The sequence below is a fragment of the Homo sapiens genome, chromosome 7, assembly GCF_000001405.40.
Source record: "Homo sapiens chromosome 7, GRCh38.p14 Primary Assembly".
Lineage (NCBI taxonomy): Eukaryota > Metazoa > Chordata > Mammalia > Primates > Hominidae > Homo > Homo sapiens.
Window position 1 is genome coordinate 105,257,090 of NC_000007.14, and position 24,358 is coordinate 105,281,447.

General features: G+C 40.1%; 1 protein-coding gene across 34 annotated transcripts in view, besides 1 other annotated feature; it reads right to left on the minus strand.

Moving 5' to 3' along the window:
* SRPK2 (SRSF protein kinase 2) overlaps positions 1-24,358 on the minus strand; it is a 284,618-nt gene that overhangs the window by 142,350 nt on the left and 117,910 nt on the right. For 17 of the 34 annotated variants that reach the window (XR_007060151.1, XR_007060150.1, XR_007060147.1 and 14 more), the window contains one exon: positions 11,717-11,780. The exons of 12 other annotated variants lie outside the window; for them this stretch is intronic. Coding sequence is in view for 14 of the 22 variants with exons in the window: in NM_001350746.2 (NP_001337675.1) it covers positions 11,717-11,780 (64 nt within the window). In the remaining 8 variants the exon portion in view is untranslated. Of the gene's footprint in view, positions 1-11,716; positions 11,964-24,358 lie in introns of those variants that run through there. 5 more of the 34 variants (NM_001350745.2, NM_001350739.2, NM_182691.3 and 2 more) reach the window with 1 other exon arrangement.
* Positions 11,729-12,018: an enhancer, noted in NCBI's record as "active region_26458". NCBI's record gives its function as "activates an Ori minimal core promoter by ATAC-STARR-seq in GM12878 lymphoblastoid cells {active_cell/tissue: GM12878}" and the evidence as "EXISTENCE:reporter gene assay evidence [ECO:0000049][PMID:35858748]".

The window sequence follows — 24,358 nt, forward strand, 5'->3', positions numbered from 1 at the left end:
CACTGATATTCTGTACAAAACCTACATTTCTGTGCTGGCTTTGTGGCTCCCTGATTTCCAAATCACTAAGTGGCTAGTGCATAGCAGCTGCTGAAAAAAATGCTGGGTGGATGGATAACAAATAAAATCTACTAAAATTAGTCTTAATTTCTTCCAGCCCCAGTACATAAAAGATTGTTACAAAAGGAATCTGCACTATGACTGTTGAAAGTAGAGTTTTTATTGTTGCTATTGTTATTATAATAGCTGCTCACATTTGTTCAGAACCTCCCTGATAAATTCATCATAATCTACATTGCTGGAGCAGAAGAGGATCCCAAAGAGAAGAGGAAGTGCCACTGCTGACATGCAAAATTATCTTAGGTGATACTTGAAACCTGGTATTGAATTACACTGAATCAAATACTGAGGAAGTTATTCCTTTTCCGAGGTTCTTTCAATCTGTCTGGGTGTATGAGAACAACTCTCACTTTGGTGCTAACACATATTTATGTCCCTTTATGACACCTGCAAATTTAACTTCCCTTGTAAACACAGAGAGCATATGGCTCAGGCTTGGAGCCTTTATCAGACAACAGAATCTAGACAGGGTTTAACAGTCATTTTTTTTTTTAAGGCAAACAATACAGGTTCTCTATTGCTGGTGGAGACACAAAGATTCCTTTTTAAAGAAAATTAAGCTTTAAAAAGCATTAAAAGGTTTTACATTTATTTTAAGAAATTTAAAAATAAAAAAGAATGGCCGGGTGCAGTGGCTCACACCTGTAAACCCAGCACATTGGGAGTCCGAGGCAGGCAGAGCAAGAGGTCAGGAGACTGAGACCACCCTAACACAGTGAAACCCCGTCTCTACTAAAAATACAAAAAGTTAGCCAGGCGTGGTGGCACGCGCCTGTAGTCCCACCTACTCTGGAGGGGGAGGCAGGATAATTGCTTGAACCTAGGAGACAGTTGCAGTGAGCCGAGATCGTGCCACTGCACTCCATCCTGGGTGACAGAGCAAGACTCCATCTCCAAAAACAAAAAAAAAAGGAAAGCATGATATGAGGCCAGGTGCGGTGGATCACGCCTGTAATCCCAGCACTTCGGGAGGCCGAGGCAGGCGGATCACGAGGTCCAGAGTCCTACACCAGCCTGACCAATATGATGAAGCCCCATCTCTACTAAAAATACAAAAATCAGCCAGGCGTGGTGGCATGCACCTGTAATCTCAGCTACTCGGGAGGCTGAGACAGGAGAATTGCTTGAACCCGGGAGGCAGAGGTAATAGTGAGCCGAGATCATGCCATTGCACTCCAACCTGGGTAACAAGAGCGAAACTCGGTCTCAAAAAAAAAAAAAAAAAAGAAAGAAAAAAAGCACAGTGTGGAGTGCAAATGTGACAAAAAAACACCAAGGTGATACACAAAATACTAATATTTGGGATGTAAATGACTATGTTTTATCAGTCCAGCATCATCCTGATACCAAAGCCTCGTAGAGACACAACAAAAAAAGAGTATTTTAGGCCAATATCCACGATGAACACTGATGCGAAAATCCTCAGTAAAATACTGGCAAACTGAATCCAGCAGCACATCAAAAAGCTTATCCACCACAATCAACTTGGCTTCACCCCTGGGATGCAAGGCTGGTTCAACATACACAAATCAACAAACGTAATCCATCACATAAAAACAGAACCAACAACAAAAACCACATGATTATCTCGATAGATGCAGAAAAGGCCTTCAACAAAATTCAACAGCCCTTCATGCTAAAAACGCTCAGTAAACTAGGTATTGATGGAACCTATCTCAAAGTAATAGGAGTTATTTATGACAAACCCACAGCCAATATCATACTGAATGGACAAAAACTGGAAGCATTCCCTTTGAAAACTGGCACAAGACAGGGATGCCCTCTCTCACCACTCCTATTCAACATAGTGTTGGAAGTTCTGGCCAGGGCAGTCAGGCAGGAAAAGGAAATAAAGGGTATTCAATTAGGAAAAGAGGAAGTCAAATTGTCTCTGTTTGCAGATGACATGATTGTATATTTACAAAACCCTATCATCTCAGCCCAAAATCTCCTTAAGCTGATAAGCAACTTCAGCAAAGTCTCAGGATACAAAATCAATGTGCAAAAATCACAAGCATTCCTATACACCAATAACAAACAGAGAGCCAAATCATGAGTGAACTCCCATTCACAATTGCTTCAGAGAGAATAAAATACCTAGGAATCCAACTTACAAGGGATGTGAAGGACCTCTTCAAGGAGACTACAAATCACTGCTGAATGAAATAAAAGAGGACACCAACAAATGGAAAAAACATTCCATATTCATGGATAGGAAGAATCAATATCGTGAAAATGGCCACACGGCCTAAGGTAATTTACAGATTCAATGCCATCCCCATCAAGCTACCAATGACTTTCTTCACAGTATTGGGAAAAAAACTACTTTAAAGTTCATATGGAACCAAAAAAGAGCCTGCATTGCCAAGAAAATCCTAAGCAAAAAGAACAAAGCTGGAGGCATCACACTACCTGACTTCAAACTATACTACAAGGCTACAGTAACCAAAACAGCATGGTACTGGTACCAAAACTGAGATATAGACCAATGGAACAGAACAGAGGCCTCAGAAATACCACCACACATCTACAACCATCTAATCTTTGACAAACCTGACAAAAACAAGCAATGGGGAAAGCATTCCCTATTTAATAAATGGTGCTGGGAAAACTGGCTAGCCATATGTAGAAAGCTGAAACTGGATCCCTTCCCTACACCATATACAAAAATTAACTCAAGATGGATGAAAGACTTAAATGTAGGACCTAACACCATAAAAACCCTAGAAGAAAACCTAGGCAATACCATTCAGGACACAGGCATGGGCAAAGACTTCACGACTAAAACACCAAAAGCAATGGCAACAAAAGTCAAAATAGACAAATGGGATCTAATTAAACTAAAGAGCTTCTGCACAGCAAAAGAAACTATCATCAGAGTGAAAAGGCAACCTACAGAATGGGAGAAAATTTTTACAATCTACCCATCTGACAAAGGGCTAATATCCAGAATCTACCAAGAACTTAAACCAATTTACAAGAAAAAAACAACCCCATCAAAAAGTGGGCAAAGGATATGAACAGACACTTCTCAAAAGAAGACATTTATGCAGCCAGAAGACACATGAAAAAATGCTCATCATCACTGGTCATCAGAGAAATGCAAATCAAAACCACAATGAGATACCATCTCACACCAGTTAGAATGGTGATCATTAAAAAGTCAGGTAACAACAGGTGCTGGAGAGGATGTGGAGAAATAGGAAGGCTTTTACACTGTTAGTGGGAGTGTAAATTAGTTCAACCATTGTGGAAGACAGTGTGGCAATTCCTCAAGGATCTAGAACTAGAAATACCATTTGACCCAGCAATCCCATTACTGGGTACATACCCAAAGGACTATAAATCATGCTGCTATAAAGACACATGCACACCTATGTTTATTGTGGCACTATTCACAATAGCAAAGACTTGGAACCAACCCAAATGTCCATCAATGATAGACTGGATTAAGAAAATGTGGCACATGTACATCATGGAATACTATGCAGCCATAAAAAAGGATGAGTTCATGTCCTTTGCAGAGACATGGATGAAACTGGAAACCATCATTCTAAGCAAACTATCACAAGGACAGAAAACCAAACACCACATGTTCTCACTCGTAGGTGGGAGTTTAATAATGAGAACACATGGACACAGGGCGGGGAACATCACACACTGGAGCCTATTGGGGGGTGGGGGACTGGGGGAGGGACAGCATTAGCAGAAATACCTAATGTAAATAACGAGTTGATGGGTGCAGGAAACCAATATGGCACATGTATACCTATGTAACAAACCTGCACATTGTGCATATGTACCCTAGAAATTAAAAAAAAAAAAAAAAAAAACAGTATGGAGTGCAAATGTGACCAAAAAACACCAAGGTGATACACAAAATACTAATATTTGGGATGTAAATGACTATGCTTTAATGTTGCCATTTTGGCACAGAGATGGAAAGTGTCCAAATTTAATTTCCATTGTATATTAAATGAAAAATAAATGTAACAATAAGCTGTGCGCTTTTATGGTGACAGAAAAATCTGGCCGGGTGTGGTGGCTCAAGCCTGTAATCCCGGCACTTTGGGAGGCCGAGGCGGGTGGATCACAAGGTCAGGAGATCGAGACCATCCTGGCTGACACTGTGAAACCCCGTCTCTACTAAAAATACAAAAAATTAGCCAGGCATTGTGGCGGGCGCCTGTAGTCCCAGCTACTCAGGAGGCTGAGGCAGGAGAATGGCGTGAACCTGGGAGGCGGAGCTTGCAGTGAGCCGAGATCGCGCCACTGCACTCCAGCCTGGGCGACAGAGCAAGACTCGAGACTCCATCTCAAAAAAAAAAAGAAAGAAAAAAGAAAAATCTAAGACCTGTAACCTTGACAGTTTGTAACAAAATTATCTTATGATTATTTATTAATCTATGCCAATACCACAGAAAGAGATAACTCCCCATACCAAGAAAGTCTTCCTATAAAGCTCATAATTTGTAAAATGCAAATGAACATTATTTGTTTTGTTGACATTTTGTGATGAAAGCACTTCTATATATAAGATCATAAGGTGGGGTTAACAGTGAGTAAGCCAGTAAGTAGACCAAATGTCACTGATACGCCCCACTGTCAAACAGCAGCTGTGACAAATGCTACAAAGGAGAAGTACATGGTACTGTAATTTGATACAGGCAGAGCTTCCTTGAGACAGGAAGGATGGGAACAGCAAAACAGCCAGGACATGACCAAAGGAAGAGATACATGAGACAAGGCTGGAGAGGGAGATGAGGACAGAGAAAAGAGGTACTCACTGACCCAGGTATGGAGTTTACCTAACTCCCAAGCACAAGGGGAAGACAGCTGAAAGGTTTTAAACGTGGAATGACCTACCTGATCAGATTTGTGTTCTGAAAGGTTTGCTCTGGCTGTAATGTAAGCAACCCTCCAGAGAAGCATCAGTAAACAGACAGAATCAAAATTGATTACAAAATAATGTAGAAACTACTACATCTAGACCAAATAAATAATGGCCAACAGAAAACCTGATCAGAACATTGTCCAGTCTTTCATTGGAAACTAACACTACACTTTTATTTAGGTATATGATACATAAATTTTAGAGACTAGGAACAGCTTAAAACTTAACACTTCAGAAGCTATCAAAATGTCATGATTTCTTGGACAGACCTAAGGTGGCCTACCTACCTCAAGGGCTTTAAGTAAAGAGGACTGGAGCTCGAGGAAGTGGCTCCAAGGCGGACGGCTAAGCATCAAAAACTGCGGCTCTGATTTACATTCCCCAGCTCCCAAACCAAGCATCTTCTTTATATATTTTACATGATAACTTCCTATTAAGGTTTGACGAAAGAAGGTTTTGCTACTGAAACCAAGTCTGAAAACTAATGTTAATACCCACGGCCTCTAGTACCCAGTTACAAGACTATAATCAGTGGGAAAGCAGTGCCTCCAACAACAACACCCTAGGGTCACTTACTGGTCTATGCTTCTAATTCTGTTCCCCCTCAGGAACGCTCATGTTCAGAAATAGTCCAGTTTCTACTTCTAATCCTCCTCAAAATGGTGCAAACTCTGGGTAACACTGGTAGAGCCACCAGAATGCTAACAAGGAAAAAGGAAGGGAGAAATGGAGGGAAAGGTAAGAGAAGGAAAAAAATATATACAATACCAAATTGAAAAGAACCTGGAGCATACACAGTTGGTGGAAGTATAGAGTGGTACATTCACTTTGGAAAACTGACAATACCCACTAAAACTCAGCAACTGCACTCCTAGGAATATATTAAACAAATGCATGCAAGCTTCATTAACCAAAAGACATGTATGGAAATGCTCACGGCAGACTGGGCAAGGTGGCTCACACCTGTAATCCTAGCACTTTGGGAGGCTGAGGTGGGTGGACTGAGGTCAGGAGTTTGAGACCAGCCTGGCCAACAAGGCAAAACCCCGTGTCTACTAAAAATACAAAAATTAGCCGGGCGTGGTGGCGCGGGCCTGTAATCCCAGCTACTCTGGAGGCTGAGGCAGGAAAATTGCTTGAACCTGGGAGGCAGAGGTTGCAGTGAGCTGAGATCGCTCCACTTTACTCCAGCCTGGGCAAAAGAGCAAAACTCCATTTCAAAAAAAAAAAAGAAAAAGAAATGCTCATAGCAGCACTATTCCTAATAACCACAAACTGTAAGCCTCCCAAATGCTCATTAATAGAATGAATAAACTGAGGTATATTCATGAATACTGTACAGATATGAGACTGAATTAATTACAACTACACACAACAATATGGATGAACCTCACATAGGTAACCTCACATAGGTAACAGACCAAAAGCTTATCCAGAGGGTTTCTATTTATATAATGTTCAAAACAGATACAACTGAACTGTCATATGCAAAAAATTGAATCTCAATCTTTACCTTAATACTAAAACCCCAAATGAATCACAGACTTAAATGTTAAGATCCTAAAACTCCTAAAAGTCAATCTAGCAGAAAATATTAGTGACCCTAGGCTTGGCAAAGATTTCTTAGGCACAACACACACACACACAAAACAAACAAACAAAAACACTGAAAAAAAATTTCAATAAACTGTATTTCATAAAGATCTATGATCTGGGTACTATTCCATATACGTATCTTCAATGAAAATACTAACAAAAATTAAATAAAGAATTGAGTGATGAGAAGACAACACAATCAACCACTATGTCATCTCATTAAGGAACAAGTACACCTCTACAAGGAGAGAAAGAAAGCCAACAGTGGCAGAGCAGGAGTTGGAAAAGGGAAAAATAGTTATCAACAAATGTTTTTCCTAGTCTTTGCATTGCAACGGGGGGAGAAAGGGAAAACAACGAAGAAAGACCCTTTGGTTCTCCTCCTATAACTGCTCTTAGTCCACCACACATCATAAAAGAAAATATATCAACTTAAGAGCAAATCAAAGACATCTTGGTCCAGGATCCTTTTCCACTGAATGCCCTTTACTTCTTTCTCTCTTCATCTGGTACCTTCCTCACTTTTGAATTTTTTCCCTTCCTTTCTCCTTATTTTTCCAGGTATAGCTTTTTGCTCTCCGCATCCACACATCGCTATGTATCACTTTCACCTTTGCATACGAGGCACCAAAATAAGAAGAGAACAATTAAAATACACACACAAAAACAGCCTGGGTTCCTTATGGATTTGAAATACCCTTATATTGGAGAAGGGACAACACACAATCTCTATCAATTCTCACCAATCCTTTTTATTCGGCATTGGTAGAATATAGGCCACAGCATAAATATTACTATGACACTTTTTCCCTCTCCGCTTCTCTCCTCTCCTGAACAAGACAGCTACAGTTTGTGAATTCAGTATTGGCTAGCTAACTGAAATGTTAAGGATCTAGGCTAGGAGTTCTTATCTATTGAGCTACAAGTATAAAGACTCCCTTTTAAACACTAAAATACATCAAAAACCCACAAACATGCAAAAAGAAATTATCCTTTCCGTATCTGTTCCCTGAGAAAATGCAAACCTATATAGCACTGTTGTGAGTTGTTAATTTTTAGTTCATTGTGAACTTTATCAATTAAAACAACATCCACTCACACTGAACAGCAGATGTGGGCAATGCTATGTGTGAATGCAGTCTCAGCTTCTCAGATCTCCTCATCTCACAAACTCCTCAGCCCTCCTTGGGTTTACCTAGGCAGACTGGGAATCAGCTCTGACCACTCTGGGCTCAACTTTCTTTACTGATTAAGAATTGTACAATTTTGTTACCTGAGTTCCCTGAAGAAATAGCAATAAAGTTTGACAAAAATGATAGTACGGTAAAGTACCTTCTGTTCACACAGGATTCTTCTGGGATGATTTATTAAACAGTTCTCCCAATAACCATTCCTTCTACACACAACACACACACCCCTTCCCTCTCTTTCTCTTCACCTAAAAAGCACTCAGAACTGGTATCTAGACTGTTTAATAAATGATTAGAGTCAGCCCTCCACATCCACAGATTTGACCCACTACAGATCAAAAATATTTGGGATATAAAACAATAAAAAATAAAATACAACAATAATACAAATTTTTAAACTATAATATAACAACTATTTACAGAGTGTTTTCATTGTATTAGGTATTGTAAGTAATCTAGAGATGTTTTAAAACATATGGGACGAAGTACACAGGTTATGTGCAAATACTATACCATTTTACATGAAGGACTTGAGCATCTGTGGATTTTGATATCTATGGGGGGTCATGGAACCAATCAATCCCCCTTGGACACCAAGGGACAACTGTACTACACCTTTTTAGCTATTATGGTTATTACTACTACTACTCTCCCCCACGCACATTACCCCATAAATCCCAGAAGTGCTCTAGCTAAGAAAGGGCAAAATGAAGAAACGAGAACTTGAAAACCTAGTTTTTTTAATCAGATATTCACATTTATTACTGTAAACAGGAGTAAACAAGGGAGTAAAAATGTGTCTAGCACCGACTCTACTATATTCAAGATGAATTCATTCATTCAACAGGCACTCAAAAAAAAGGAAAATACCTGCAGTAGGATTTACCCCTAAAATCTCCAGAGGGTACTGTCTTGCAGCAAATATCTTCCTCGTAACTATTATATACATCATTTTTCATTCATCATTAGGCATTTTTTTTAAAAAATTCATTCAATAGCATTCTCTGCTCTTAATTTTTTAAATGGTTATGCTGAGTTTTTTTCTCTCTCTTCAAAACACAAAACCAAAAAATAAACTAACGTTTTGTAACCCTGATAGTTTTGATCTTAGGAGTCAGCCATTCAGAACAGAAGTACTCCATAACTCCCCTACAAAATGGCACTCTTCAGACTTCCACTGTTCCTTTAAAGGTAAAAACATAATTTTAGATTTCAAGGTGTTATTGAGATCTATTAGGATAACGTATTTCCCAATTTAGCCCCCCAAACAACCTTCAAATTCCATTATAATTTTACTTCAAATCGTATGTATATTTTTCAGTGAAGGACTCTTAAGATTCTACAAAAATAAATTAGGTTGTTTTGCTTTTCCCATTTTATAAAATTGAACAAAAACAATTCAACCAATACTAAGCTCTTGCAAGACTAGCAATTCTTTTAAAAGGATAAAAATGAGATGAAAAATTACTAGAAATAATCACATCAGGGTTTTTGTATTTATATTTTGTATTTAGAGGTACTTTTCTCTACCCAGTTTTCTGAATTATCAAAAGATAATTCTATATACTGCAGGAACAAAATCAGTTGTGGTGAATGATAACTTTTGGTTTGCTTACAATCAAGCAGTTTCTCCCCTGCTAAAGAAAGAAGTCAGATTTCTTCAACCTTTCTACCAGTAGACAGATGGGAACACTGACTATATGCAAATTCCAAATATCTCTAAGATTTAGAGCACCATGCCTCAAACCATTAACTTATTTTTTTTTTAAGTGAAAGCAAAAACTCTTAAAATGTAGCTGGACTGGTGAACAAGGAATTTAAGAATGTAATGATAATGCTACATGATATTGTAAGGTGTTAAATTCCTGGACAGGATATAGTGTTACAAGCCATAAATTCTTTTTAAACTTCAGATTCTTATTTTTCAAGTTCCTCCAAACAAATTAAAAAGACAAATGATTTGACTGTTCATTACCATATGACTTTTAATAAAAAGTAGGGGCAAGGGAGAGTACCTTCTTGTTGTAATATATCTACATTAACGAAACAACTTCTATGTTTGCAAAGTGTTGTCTGATTTATAAGCTACATTTATCAACCATTAAGTCAGGACAGCATAATGGCCATGAAATAATAATACATAAATTAAGTAATCTCTGGTAAAACTGTGCATGAAGTTATCAGAAGCAATAGTGGCTGATTTCTAAACTTTAAAATCATGACCACATGCGTCCTCCCTTTCCTTCAAATAACCACCAGAGTGTAGGTAAGTAAATAAATAAAATCACTAAAATATCTTAGAATATCTTTCCTTACAGAATGTATTTTAACCAGAAAACCTCATCCACTCCTAATTTGTTTCTCAATAATATTCATCCACTCTGTCCAACCCTCAATTTATCAGTAAAGAATTCATGATATTCCAAAAAGCTAATGTAATTATTACTGTCATCTCATTAAGTGTGCTCTTCCTAGTACCAAACTCTAACATTACAGCTGATACCCAGCTCGTTCACTATGCACACCACCCTCTTCTACCCTTCCCATCACCACCATTTTACTGGCAGAATATTCACAAGGCTGAAGACTGTTTCTCATCTCAGCAAACAGAATGCTTAAGATCAGATGGCTAGCCACAAACCAAAAGTTAGAAGCCACACAAAAATAAACACTAGCAGTCCTAAAATTTTCTACTTTCAGTCTCTAACAAAAGCAGTAACATCATTTTTATTTGTGATGCCCTAAGTTAGAGCCATAAGCTTTTTCCCCTGATTATACTAATAAATCAATTTAAAATGATAATTTTACATCAGATTATGTCCTTCATATACTAGCATACTTTAAATAAATCCATTTTACCATGGTAGGTTCTTCAACTCATTTTTTTTGTATTTTTTCTGTATCATTCCTTAACTACCACATTATTTCTCCATTATTTTTCTAAATATTACATCTATGAACAAAAAAGATAACCCTGCAAACCCTAGAAAAGATAAATCAACATATACCTTAAGTATAAAATATCAATATTAAGTATAACCTATTAGGTAACCAAGAGAAAGGTAAGCATCAACTGTATGCCCAGGAATCTCAATTTAAGACATCATGTAGTATACACTATTTTGGTAAACAGAACTGTATACAATATTTGCATATCAAAATAGGCAACTATAGCCTTATTTCTGACTTCAGATAAAAATATCTTAATTCTTTTTATAAGGCAAAACAGTCATTTTAATGAAATATCTCTTTTCAGATATAATCATATGATTGACAGATAAAATAATTGCTTTAAAAATACTTCTGAGTCATTTTGTCCTTACCTGCAGGCATGAACCATTACTGCATGCAGTGACTGTTCCATTTCCTAGCACAGACTTGAAGAAGCATCATATCTCTCTTACAGAATGTGACTAATCTGTGGGTTTGCAATTCCTAAGCTATTTACAAATGGCACTCCCTTACCATATAAGAATAAATATTTATTACAACCCAAAATCAAGTATTTTTAACCTACATTTTACAAATAACCTTCGTAATTCTGTAGAGCAGCAACCTCAACATATAGGAAGAAAACCTCACAGCATTTCCCTTTAAAAAAGCAAGATTTTTCTTTTCTGCTTTTTAGCTAAATTATTTTTAAAGCCTTCAACAGCTGTCACACATGAACCAGCGGTCTGCTGTGTTATGGTGTGCATGCTGCAGCTGATCAGGCTCCACTATTTTTCTTAAAAAAATCAATCACCCTTTGCAAAAGCAGAACAGCTTGCCCCAATACACATCTTCAATACAGCACAATACCAGCATGCAGGACAATACGTTATATAGCAAACTTGACAAGAAAAAAAAATATGTCCTGGTTTGTTTCTTAGCAATGCTACACCATTAATTGTTCATGCAAGAGATGTAGCTGTACCTTTCTGAAGAGGACGACTTCTCAGAGTTAACTGACATCAGCAGCTCAATCTTCTGCTTGATTTCTGGAAAAATCAGAAAATATTCACAACCAAGATTGCCTGCCCTTGCTTTCAAGCCTTATATCAAGAGATTTTTCTTCTCTAATCCCTTTTGTTCAGAATGAGGCCACAAGATTCGCAGTACTTCTGTTAGGACTGGGATTCAATGGTGCTATAAAGGGAAAAAGCTCCAGAGGCATCAGGCCTTGCTAAACTATGCACATGACTGTTTATGAAAGCAGGAAGTACCATTTCTTTAAAGCAGAGGGGTGTTTTCTTTTTTAAGGTAGAACTAGCATGGTTCTACAAGATGATTTTCAATTTAGCAAAATAAAATACAAACAAGAAATCTTGAACATCTGAATTAAATATACTAGATAATTTGAGAAGCCTGGGTAATCACGTCACAGGCTGTAATAAACAGATATGCAACCCTTGGCTGTTTCTATTTCACTAGCCCTAAAAAATATGGCTCAGTGAATCATTTTTGTCACTTAAGAATGAAATATTAAACCAGAACCCCGATGTATAGATTTCAAAATGTTTAACCTTTGTTTTAATTTCTTGATTGTGTTTAATTAAAGACACATTTAATATCTAGTGTTCCTAACTCCTCTAGAAAGAGACTTCTGATTTTATACCTTAATTTTCCCCTCCTCCTTAGCAGTACAGTACAAGTGAACAGCAACACCCATTTACCGAGCAGAGATAATATATTTGTCCTTTTAGGAAAGGATTGACAATAGACATCTACAACAGGAATGTAAGCACCAGTTCAACTTAATTAAAAGATAATTGCTGATACTGATTTGGAAGGGAGATAACAGACTAAAAGGGAAGGAAGGGTGAAAATAAGAGAGGGAAAAGATAAGGAGACAATCTAACACGTTTCCTTTAAAACATCAACGACTGACTAAAGCACATAATTTTAAGTTAATAAAACTGACATGGTCCTATTACCCAGACTATTTCATGTGTAAAGCTGTTTTCCTATCCCTAATAAGTATTTCCAACTGGATTTTTAAAACTGAAGTGTGCTTTCATAATAAAAAGTTCACATACTAAAAAATAAATTAGTGCCAATAAAATGCTATCAACAGTACCAGGATTTCAAAATAGACCTCAATAGTTTTTTAAGCAGTAAAGCAAATTTTTTTTAAAATGTTGACTATATAAATCAAAGTTGAATATGAGAAGATGTAAAGGAAAAAGGAATAAAAATTAGTTCCATAAAATACAATGGACCTGTACAGAAATATCCTCTCAGCGTTGTTAAAATAAGGATTTTTCCCAAATTTTTAAGCTTATAACTTCAATGAGCATTATAAAAGCGGCATGAATACCTGATGAGAGAGCAGAATCTACCACAGGGTGTAGCCAAGCTGCCGAGCCACTGGGAGAGCAGAGCACAGCGCCTATAGCTGGGGTGGTGCTGAGACTCACCTTGAGGATCAGGCACATGGCGCCACAGTGAGCCCTCAGCAGGGCCCCTCCCCTCATTTTGGAAGGAGCAGGGTGTCAGAGCTCAGACTCTGCCTTGGATTTAGGAACAGCCTCCTCTGCCCTTTTTTTTTTTTTTTTGAGATGGAATTTCACTCGTTGCCCAGGCTAGAGTGCAATGGCACAATCTCGGCTCACTGCAACCTCCGCCTCCCGGGTTCAAGCGATTCTCCTGTCTCAGCCTCCCGGGTAGCTGGGATTACAGGCGCCCGCCACCATACCCAGCTAATTTTTTGTCTTTTTAGTAGAGACAGGGTTTCACCATGTTGGTCAGGCTGGTCTTGAACTCCTGACCTCAGATGATGCGCCCACCTCAGCCTCCCAAAGTGCTGGGATTACAGGTATGAGCCACAGCACCAGGCCTCCTCTGCCATTTTTAATAGCTGTATGACCTTGGAGAAATTACTTAAACTCTCTAAAGCCTCTATCTCCTCTCCTGTAAAATGAGGATAATAACATATATCTGAAAGGCTGTGGCAAGGATTTAATGAAATAACCCATGAAAATAAAGTAGTATTGTGCCTGGGATGCCATGAGCCCTCCCTGCTTCATCTCTCAATAAATATTTACTGAATTAGTTAATGAAGGATACCAGGCCTGTCCAATGTTAAATGGTTTTTCCATAGTTTAAATCCACCTTCTCCTTCTTATCATCAACCTCAACATCCCCATTTTTATCACTGTAGTGTTATTGTAGGTGGGAACTTAACTTTAATCTGTATCTCAGCCTCCCTTCCTAGAGAATTGTGCTCCATGTATCAACTTGCTGCTTCAGAAAAGAGATTACACTTGAATCCATCTTCATCATGGCAATTTTGTATTCCAAAACAACAAAAAGTTCACACTTCAGTATACGTACGTATATCAATGCACTTAAGATGAAAAAGCCCAAGATTAAATTACACAGCTCTAACGAAGTTAATGCCTATCTTGTAAACACTGGAAAGAAAAGTTCAAGCTATAAACCATATTCTGACTGGTGACACTGGAAGCCCCAAACCAAAGAGGATTCTAATAATACATGAAAAGGTTTCCAACTTCATTTTCACCTTATCTCTAAACCTTCAGATTTGTTCATCGCTCCAGAAGGACTCAGAAATCAAGGAACGTTAACACTATGATACTGTATCCTTTGAGGCCCACATACTCTGTCTATGCTACCATCAACTCCTCCCTGTCCTTATCATCCATAGGTCTGGTAATTCCCCACATTCGTGAAGAATTCCAGAAGCCATTTAACTGATTTCCATTCCACCACAACACCTGCCATAATCGGGGGTACCTGGATGTCCATACTGATATGACTTATTAGAAAAGGCTTGGCTATCGACTCCAGGCTCCTCAGTCCACAGACTCTTGAACCTCTACCTCTTGAGCCATCCGTTCCCTTGACCATGCTCAGGACACTTTCTTACACACACCGCAAACACTTTCCCCCTCAATTAGTCAGTTGTTTTGGAATTTTATTCAATTACTTCCAGGGTAGTATCTGGGACCCTATATGCTTTATTTTTCTGCAATAAAGTCAACCAATCTTTTCCTTGTTAAATTCTGGCCTTCCTGATAAACTTAGAAACAAACTTAGAAACACCTTCCTCACACCAAAGTTTTTAAATTTTTCATCCAATTTTCCTCTAATATGCTTTATAATAGTATTTGCATGTAAATCTTAGAACCTTCTAGATTTTGTTACATTAATTGATATAGAGATCCAGTCTGCTTTTACAAGTCAGATTTTAAAATGACTCTCTTGTCATTTTAAAATGACACATCTTCACAATTCTAAAATGACTCTCTTGCCCACCACTTCATGGTTCTTCCAAAGCAGCACCCACTGTCTCCATGTATACATTTAGACCAGTGAGTGCAAAAAAAAGTCCATCAACCTGATTATTTAACAGTTGTATTCCCTATGGATGTAATCTGAAAATGCTTGACAGTACACTCAACAGCTCCTTCTACATCTCAGCCTTTAATCAATCCTTTACCATCTGCCCTACTCCCACCTCAAGACCACACTTGCTTATTTCACACAGAAAACAGGCAAGCAGTTCCTGTGTAGTTTGAATAAATATATTTTAAATTATGGTTGCTTTTATTTTTAGTCATAATTTTGTTTCTTAACTGCTAAATAACATTATAGGAGGACATAAGTTTTTGTGGCTTTTTTTTAATGCTTTTACATTTGCTTTCTCCTTCTAACTCTGGGTACTTTGCAAGACCGTTATCTTCCATGCAGCCCTTAAATGCTGGTAATACCTGTAAGGACCCTCTTTTCACTCACTGATCCTTCTGTCTACATACACCCTTGCCATCAAGAACTACAGGGCATTGATGATAACGGTAACTTAGTTTCCAGCCCAATATTCTCTCCTACAACCCAGAACCACATATCCTCCATTTTCACCTAGACAGTCTCTGCATGGCTTGAATGCGATGTCTAAAATTGAACCCATAAACTTATAAGCCTAATGTCTTCTTATATACTCCTGATCTCAGTGAACAGCAACACCATTGCCGTACCAAACCTGAAATGTTTGAGGGATCCCAGGCTAGTTCCCCCAATCTCATTTGAAATATCTTTCCCGGCCGGGCGCGGTGGCTCACGCCTGTAATCCCAGCACCTTGGGAGGCTGAGGTAGGCAAATCACGAAGGTCAGGAGATAGAGACCATCCTGGCTAACATGGTGAAACTCCGTCTCTACTAAAAATACAAAAAATTAGCCAGGCGTGGTGGCAGGCGCCTGTAGTCCCAGCTACTCAGGAGGCTGAGGCAGGAGAATGGCATGAACCCGGGAGGCGGAGGTTGCAGTGAGCAGAGATCGCGCCACTGCACTCCAACCTGGGTGACAGAGAGAGACTCCGTCTCAAAAAAAAAAAAGAAAAAAGAATTATCTTTCCCTCCATTCTCTCTTTTTTATATCATACGCTCTGGAAATACTGAGCTCTAGTCTACGTGGCTCCCCAAGCATGCCATGCTTTTTCACGCCACTAAATCTTTTCGTATACAGTTTCCTCTCCCTGGAATACCACCGTTCAGTCGTCTCCCTTGTACACCCAACTCGTTTTTTCTTTTTCTTTTTTTCTTTTTTTTTTTTGAGACAGAGTCTCGTTCTGCCACCCAGGGTGGAGTGCAGTGGTGGAATCTCAGCTCACTGCAACTTCTGCCTCCCAAATTCAAGCGATTCTCCTGCCTCAGCCCCCCGAGTAGCTGGGATTACAGGTGGGCACCACCACGCCTAGCTACCCAACTCACTTTTCTAATCTCAGTCCCAAATGTTACCTCCACACAAACACATTCCCAGAATTAAGTTCACCTCCTCTACGTCTCTGTATTTGCATTACCAAATTACTAAAATATATAAATTACTTGTTTCAGTCCCCATGAGACCATTGCTTCCCTAACGACAGGCACCTGAATGTTCAATTCAGACAGCCTGGCATATCAGACACTGGTTGTTGACACCTTCATAGTCTTCTCAGCCTGTTACAGTCAATCTAATGTTAGTTACAATTGAGCTACATTAATTTATTCTTAAATATACATTTCCAGATACACTTAACCAAAGATCCAAGCAATTTTAGAACTAGACTGATCCTCAGATCATCTCATAGCTGAACCACATGAATTTATAAAGGGGAAATCTAAGGGGCAAAAAGATACTGGAGGCAATCACATTCTTCATCTTCTCCAGAAGATTACTGTTGCTGAGACCTACAGTAAAATTTCCAAGAACTTCAACAACCCAAATAGTAAAACCCACCCAATAGTCCCATAGGCTGTTCTTTTGGATAAACACAGAAACTGACCTTTCTGGTCTTAAAGCGTAATACAAGTATGTTTTATCTAAGTTCCTTCCTCAGCAAAGGACCCTCAAGCCTCCAAAAAAAAATTAACAATAAATTCCCTCTCTCTCTCTCTCAAAGAACTGAAGGCCAGGCACAGTGGCTCATGCCTGTAATCCCAGCACTTTGGGAGGCCCACGTGGGCGGATCATTTGAGGTCAGGAGTTCAAGACCGGCCTGGCCAAGATGGTGAAACACCAACTCTACTAAAAATACAAAAATTAGCCTGGCGTGGTGGCAGATGCCTGTAATCCCAGCTACTCGGGAGGCTGAGGCAGGAGAATCGCTTCAACCCGGGAGCTGCAGGTTGCAGTGAGCCGAGATCACACCACTGCACTCCAAGCTGGGAGACAGAGCAAGACTCCGTCTCAAAAAAAAAAGTATAAAAAGACGGATGAATAGGGAGACCACAGAGAGCCATCTATGTGCGTGGGGCTCCACCTCAAAGAAAGAAAAAAAAAAAACTGAAACTCACCAAATCACCACATCCAGACAATGACACTTTGGATCCCTCATTCATCATGATTGCTTCCTTGCCCCTCCCTAGTTCCTATTTTCTTACACACTGTTACATTTCTTCCCTGCTATATCAAGCTCTGGTTTTAGTCTGGGAGATGGATTTGAGACTGAGCTCCCATCTCCTTGCTGCAGCATCCAATTAAAGCCTTCTTCCTCGGTAATACTTGTTCTTTCAGTGATTGGCTTTTTTTTTTTTCCTTGAAGACAAAGTCTCACTCTGTCGCCCAAGCTGGATGGCGCAATCTCGGCTCACTATAACCTCCGCCTCCCAGGTTCAAGCATTTCTCCTGCCTCAGCCTCCGGGATAGCTGGGATTACAAGCACCCGCCACCACGCCTGACAAATTTTTGTATTTTTAGTAGAGACGGGGGTTTCACCATGTTGGCTAGGCTGGTCTCAAACTGACCTCAAGTGATCCACCCGCCTCAGCCTCCCAAAGTGCTGGGAGTATAAGCATGAGCCACAGCACCCAGCCAGTGATTGGCTTTCCTTGTGGAGAGCAGCAGGACCTAGACCAAACCCCTGGCATTTTGGTAACAGTAGGACATTTCAATCTTATTTTAAATCAGCTTTTAAAATGCTATTTTCTTTTATCTCCAATCAATTCAAATTATCCTTATTAATCAACTTTCTTGATTGAAACAACTAATCATCTGGGGCATGATACTCTTCTTATTCATCCCCTTTATACATCCCTCAAAGCCAACAATTCACTGTGATTTCCCCCATTCATTCTCTTGCATCCAACCTACAGATCTTCCTCATAACTCTTTTATTCTTGTTTTTACTCACACCTTAAAAGATACTCAAACTCCTTATGAAGATGAACAGTTTTTAACTCTTCAGTTAATGGCCTAGGAGCTCTAATGCTTCACCTGTCTACGTTGTAACACACTGTAAGTTTAAGGCTCCCAGACCACTAACTAAGGGCTATCAGTACAGCACTAAGCCAAGCCCCTGGAACCCTGATGAGGAGTAGCAGATTACCAGTAACTCTACTCAAAATGATGTCCCATGGGGTGGTGCTTCAAAGATACAGACATCCTAGGAGAAAAACGGAGCCGCCCTGAATCAACCTAGAATCCTAGGAGTGAGGGGAACATAAGAACACACAGAAGCTGTGGGCATGATATGCTCCTTTGTCATTCAGATCACTAAACCTGGGCATGAGGACCCTGACTTTTGTCAAGTGGAAATTTAAAAAGACATAATAACTGGGCAGATTATTCTACCTAAATAATTAGAGCTACATCCTTTTTCAATGGGAATCATTCTGGCAAATTTAATAAACTTCCTTTCACTTGCCAAATTCTTTACATAATCATCCACAAACTTAATTTTGTTTGGGGTGTACATGAGGAGGATATATATATATTTTTTTTTTTTAGAGGGACAGAGTCTTGCTCTGTCACCGAAGCTGGAGTGCAGTGGTGCAACGATAGCTCACTGGGATCTCAAACTCCTGGGCTCAAGCAATCCTCTACCTCAGCCTCCTGAGTAGTTACAACTACAGATGCACACCACTATGCTTGGCTAATTTTTTTTTTTGGTAGAGACAGGGTCTCGCTATGTTGCCGAGGCTGGTCTTGAACTCCTGGGCTCAACCGATCCTCCCACCTTGGCCCCCTCAAAGTGCCAGGATTGAAGGCATGAGCCACCACTTCTGGCCCATAAGGAAGATTTTTAAAAATTAATTCGTGCCTTACATTTATCTGGAGCCACTTTAGACTATGACAAACAAATGCAGCTGGTCAAGGTGGCTCACACATGTAATCCCAACAATTAAGGAGCCCAAGGCAGAAGGACCGCTTAAGCCCAAGAGTTCAAGACCAGCCTGGGCAACATAGTGAGACTTCATCTCTTAAAAAAAAAAAAAAAATTAGGTAAGCATGGTGACATGCACGTGTGGTTCAGCTACTTAGGAGGCTGAGATGGCAGGATCACTTGGGCCCAAGAGGTTGAAGCTGCAGTTTACCAAGACTGCACCACTGCACTCCACTCTGGGCAACAGAGCAAGAATCTGTCTGAAAAGAAAAGAAACAAATACGTGTTAAGGTTGCCTGAAATGACAGGGAATACTGCAAGAATATACCTAGAAGTTAAGAGGAAAATGCCTCAGCAGGCTTCAAAACCACACGCTTCTTCAGAAGTCAGAGCAGCTCCCAAATCAATATTTCCAGGTGTTCAGTGGGATGGTTCTCCACCTTAATGCTCCACTATTCTAGGGTTTCAACACCTCTCCCATCCTAACTCTACTTCTCCTGCCACTACCAATTAACTGCTTCTTCTCTCTATTTCACATGTTTACACATTCTACTGCCTCAGGATACACGCTTATGGAGCCCTTCTTGGTGTCTCCAACTTATTATTATTATTTTTTTTTTGAGACAGAGTCTCACTCTGTCGCCCAGGCTGGAGTGCAGTGGCGTGATCTCCGCTCACTGCAAGCTCCGCCTCCCGGGTTCACACCAGTCTCCTGTCTCAGCCTCCCGAGTAGCTGGGACTACAGGCGCCCACTACCACGTCCGGCTAATTTTTTGTATTTTTAGGAGAGATGGTGTTTCACTGTGTTAGCCGGGATGGTCTTGATCTCCTGACCTCATGATCCACCCAGCTCAGCCTCCCAAAGTGCTGGGATTACAGGCGTGAGCCACTGCGCCCGGCCCAACTTGGTATTTTTAAGAGACTTCTCGCTGAAATGCAAAAGGCCCGCAAAGGCTTTTCTGGCTCAGGTGCCAATTTCTAATACTGCTATCTGAAGCCAAGTATTGAGGTCCTGATTCAAAACTGACTGACTCATAAGTGAATGTTCACAAAGGTGCAAGAATAAAGCAATTCCTCTGCGTAATCTAGGAGGGTGGATGATTAACTGACCAACATCTGCTAAGGCCAGTCTAGCCTTAAAAGGGAGTCCCTGTTATCCCAGTGTTCATTACTGAAGTCCTCTGTTATGAGAATTCACAGAAAAGCAGAAATTCTGCAAAACATAAAAATCATCATTGGTAAACTGAACATTCAAAAAACTATCCCCAATTATCACTAACTTTTATCCCCACCCATCAAAATCCTTTGTCACTCTCTCATTAATAATCACACAGTCTAACAATTCAATAAAATACAAATCTAGAGCCAAGTGAAAACTTAAAATCTGCAAAGGATGAAAAAAGTGACAAAGTTGACAGAAAATACTAAAGAAATTCTAGAAAGCCAGGCAAAATCAATGATAAATGAGGATAGAGGAGCAGGTTATGAGGTTTGTAAATGAAGAGAAAAATCAACAAGGACAATAACATGCTAAGTGGCTCAAGAATAATTATTTGAGGCCAGGCGCGGTGGGGCTCATGCCTGCAATCCCAGCACTTTGGGAGGCTGAGGCAGGCAGATCACTTGAGATCAGGAATTCGAAACCAGCCTGGCCAACAAGGTGAAAACCCGTCTCTATTAAAAATACAAAAATTAACCAGGTGTGGTGGAGCATGCCTATAATCCCAGCTACTCAGGAGGCTGAGGCAGGAGAATAGCTTGAACCCGGAGGCAGAGGTTGCAGTGAGCTGAGATCACGCTACTGCACTCCAGCCTGGGCGACACAGCGAGATTCTGTCTCAAAAAAAAAAAAAAAAAGATAATTATTTGATTATTAGAGAATACATAACAAAGCCCTTAAACAATTTGCAAAAATGAGGCTGGGCGCAGTGGCTCACAACTGTAATCCCAGCACTTTGGGAGGCCAAGGCTGGTGGATGACCTGAGGTCCGCAGTTCGAGACCAGCCTGGCCAACACGGTGAACCCCATCTCTAATAAAAATACAAAAAAAAAAAAAAAAAAATAGCCGGGAGTGGTGGCATGTGCCTGTAGTCTGAGCTACTTGGGAAGCTGAGGCAGGAGAATCGTTTGGACCTGGGAGGCAGAGGTTGTGGTGAGCTGAGACTGTACCACTGCACACCAGCCTGGGCGACAGAGCCAGACTCCGTGAAGAAGGAAAGAAAAAGAAGAAAGGAAAGAGGAAAGGGGAAAGGGGGAAAAGGAAAGGGGAAAAGGGGAAGGCAGAAGGCGGAAGGGGAAAGGAGAAAGGGGAAGGCGAAGGAAAGGAGAGAGAGAAAGAAAAAGAAGAAAAAAGTAATTTGTAAAAATGCTCTTCATTATGGCTGCATTATAACCTAAAAGATGTCCAATCATGTTATTATACAACTTAGTATGGAAATGCACACCAAAAACAATCAACACTTGGTATAATCTTTGTTCATTCTAAAAATAAGTACATATTTTCTATTACAATTTAAGATTTTTAAATAAAATAGGCTTACTTTCAGATTGTGATTTCATTTTTCAAGATGAAGTCCCAGTTCCACCCCCTTCCTTAAACGTAGCCTTTGCCAGTACCAGCTTTCCCCTGCTGCAATTCCAAAGCAAGATCATTTGTGCTCCTGAACACAGTGCCCACAGACTATGTCATGTTCGCTCCAAACTTTACAGTGGGGGTGCCAGAGGGCGGGCGGCGGGGGGAGGAGGGAGCGGTGTTGGCGCAGGCAGAAGAGAATGAAGAAGGAAAAGGAGGTAGTCTCAGGCTGGTTAGGTTTCTGATTTAGATAGCTGCTGCTACTACTTATGAGAAACTCTGTTTGAGAGAAAATGTTTTTCTGTCACTTTTAAAATTATTATTCCAAGCAAAATTTATAACCCAAGAGAAATACTAGTTCAAAAGGAAAGGGGTTTGCTGCTGATTTCTAAGTTCTGGCAAGAAAAGTGAGTCATTCTCTCCAAAAGTGGGATCCCTATTCCCCCTACCCCCAGGAGGGTGTGAACAAAAGCCAACAAGCAAGAAGACAGAGAGGAAGCTCAGACCACCCAGCCTAAAGGCTGCATGGATACACTAAAACCTCACAGTTCACCAGAACTGTTTGTTACCAGTGTTTCGGTATAAAATTTGAGAACTAAATACAACAATGTATTAAATAAATTTCTAATTTTATTAGCCTCACAATTACTCCCGTTAGCAATGAAATGTGGTGAAACCAATCTCTGAAAACTATCTAAAGGTTTCTCACTATGACAAAGTATCATTAATAGTTAATCCAGCCCCTCAACAGAACAAAGCCTCTTTTACCCTGACTCTGTCAAGTAGACAGTAGAAGTAACACAAGTTCTTAGATAACTGTGAGCTGTTACCAAACTCAAGGTGAAACCCAATGCTGTGTTCAGCAGGAGGCCAAGTTTTAAAGCTTTTCCTGCATTATTCTTAATATATGAATATCATTTATTTTACTGATAAAATACATAAATTTTACAGATTATATCATAGAGTAATATTCAGAAAAAATAAGTATTTTTATAATCTTAAGAGACAGTTTTTTCATACCAGATATTAACAGACAACTGAAACTACTTGGTTCACTGATATTGGGATGTACAAAGTCAAAAATTAAGCTGAGCGCAGTGGCTCACGCCTGTACCCCAGTACTTTGGGAGGCTGAAGTGGGCAGATTGCTTCAGGTCAGAAGTTCGAAACCAGCCTGGATAATATGGTGAAACTCCATCTCTACTAAAAATACAAAAATTAGCCGGGTGTGGTGGTGCACACCTGTCATCCCAGCTACTGGAGAGGCTGAGGCACAAGAATCGCTTGAACCTGGGAGGCAGAGGTTGCAGTGAGAGCGAAGACTGAGATCACACCACTGCATGCCATCCTGGGTGACAGAGTGAGACTGTCTTCAAAAAAAAAAAAAAGTCAAAAATTAAGATGTTATTATTTATTTTATTATTATTTGCAATTTTTGCATACAAACAACTGTGAATTCACCAAGGCAATGAATGCCTGATTTCTAACTTCTTTGGTAAGCCAACACCCACTCAAATCATCTCAAAAACAAACTTCATTATGTTAAGAGGTGGTAAAATGATTGTGGGAGGCTATTTACATGTATAAGAAAACAAGTCATTAAAAAAAAGGGGGGGGGGGCCGGGCACAGTGGCTCACCCCTGTAATCCTAGCACTTTGGGAGGCCGAGGCGGGTGGATCACGAGGTCAGGAGATCAAGACCATCCAGGCTAACACAGTGAAACCCCGTCTCTACTAAAAATACAAAAAATTAGCCGGGCGTGGTGGCGGGCACCTGTAGTCCCAGCTACTCAGGAGGCTGACGCAGGAGAATGGCGTGAACCCAGGAGGCAGAGTTTGCAGTGAGCCGAGATAGCGCCACTGCACTCCAGCCTGGGCGACAGAGCGAAGACTCCATCTCAAAAAAAAAAAAAAAAAAAAAAAAAAAAAAAAAAAAAACCTTGTTTATAAGGCATAAGAGTTAGTGCCCCTAACTCTCAACTTACATTAACTTTCAACCCATTTCTTCCTTCTTTTTTTTCTTTTTGTTGTTGTATTTGTTGTTTGGTTTTTCCCCCGCTTTTTCTGAGACAGGAGTCTCTCTAGGTCGCCCAGGCTGGAGTATAGTAGCGCGATCTCAGCTCACTGCAACCTCCACCTCCCAGGTTCAAGTGATTCTCCTGTCTCAGCCTCCCGAGTAGCTGGGATTACAGGCACTGACCATCACGCCCAGCTAATTTTTGTATTTTTAGTAGAGATGGGTTTCACCATGTTAGCTGGGCTGGTCTCAAACTCCTGACCTCAAGTGATCTATCCACCTCGGCCGCCCAAAGTGCTGGGATTACAAGCATGAGCAACCACGCCTGGCCTCCTAACTTTCAACTGCAAAAACCGCAATTACATTTGCACCAACCTAATAAT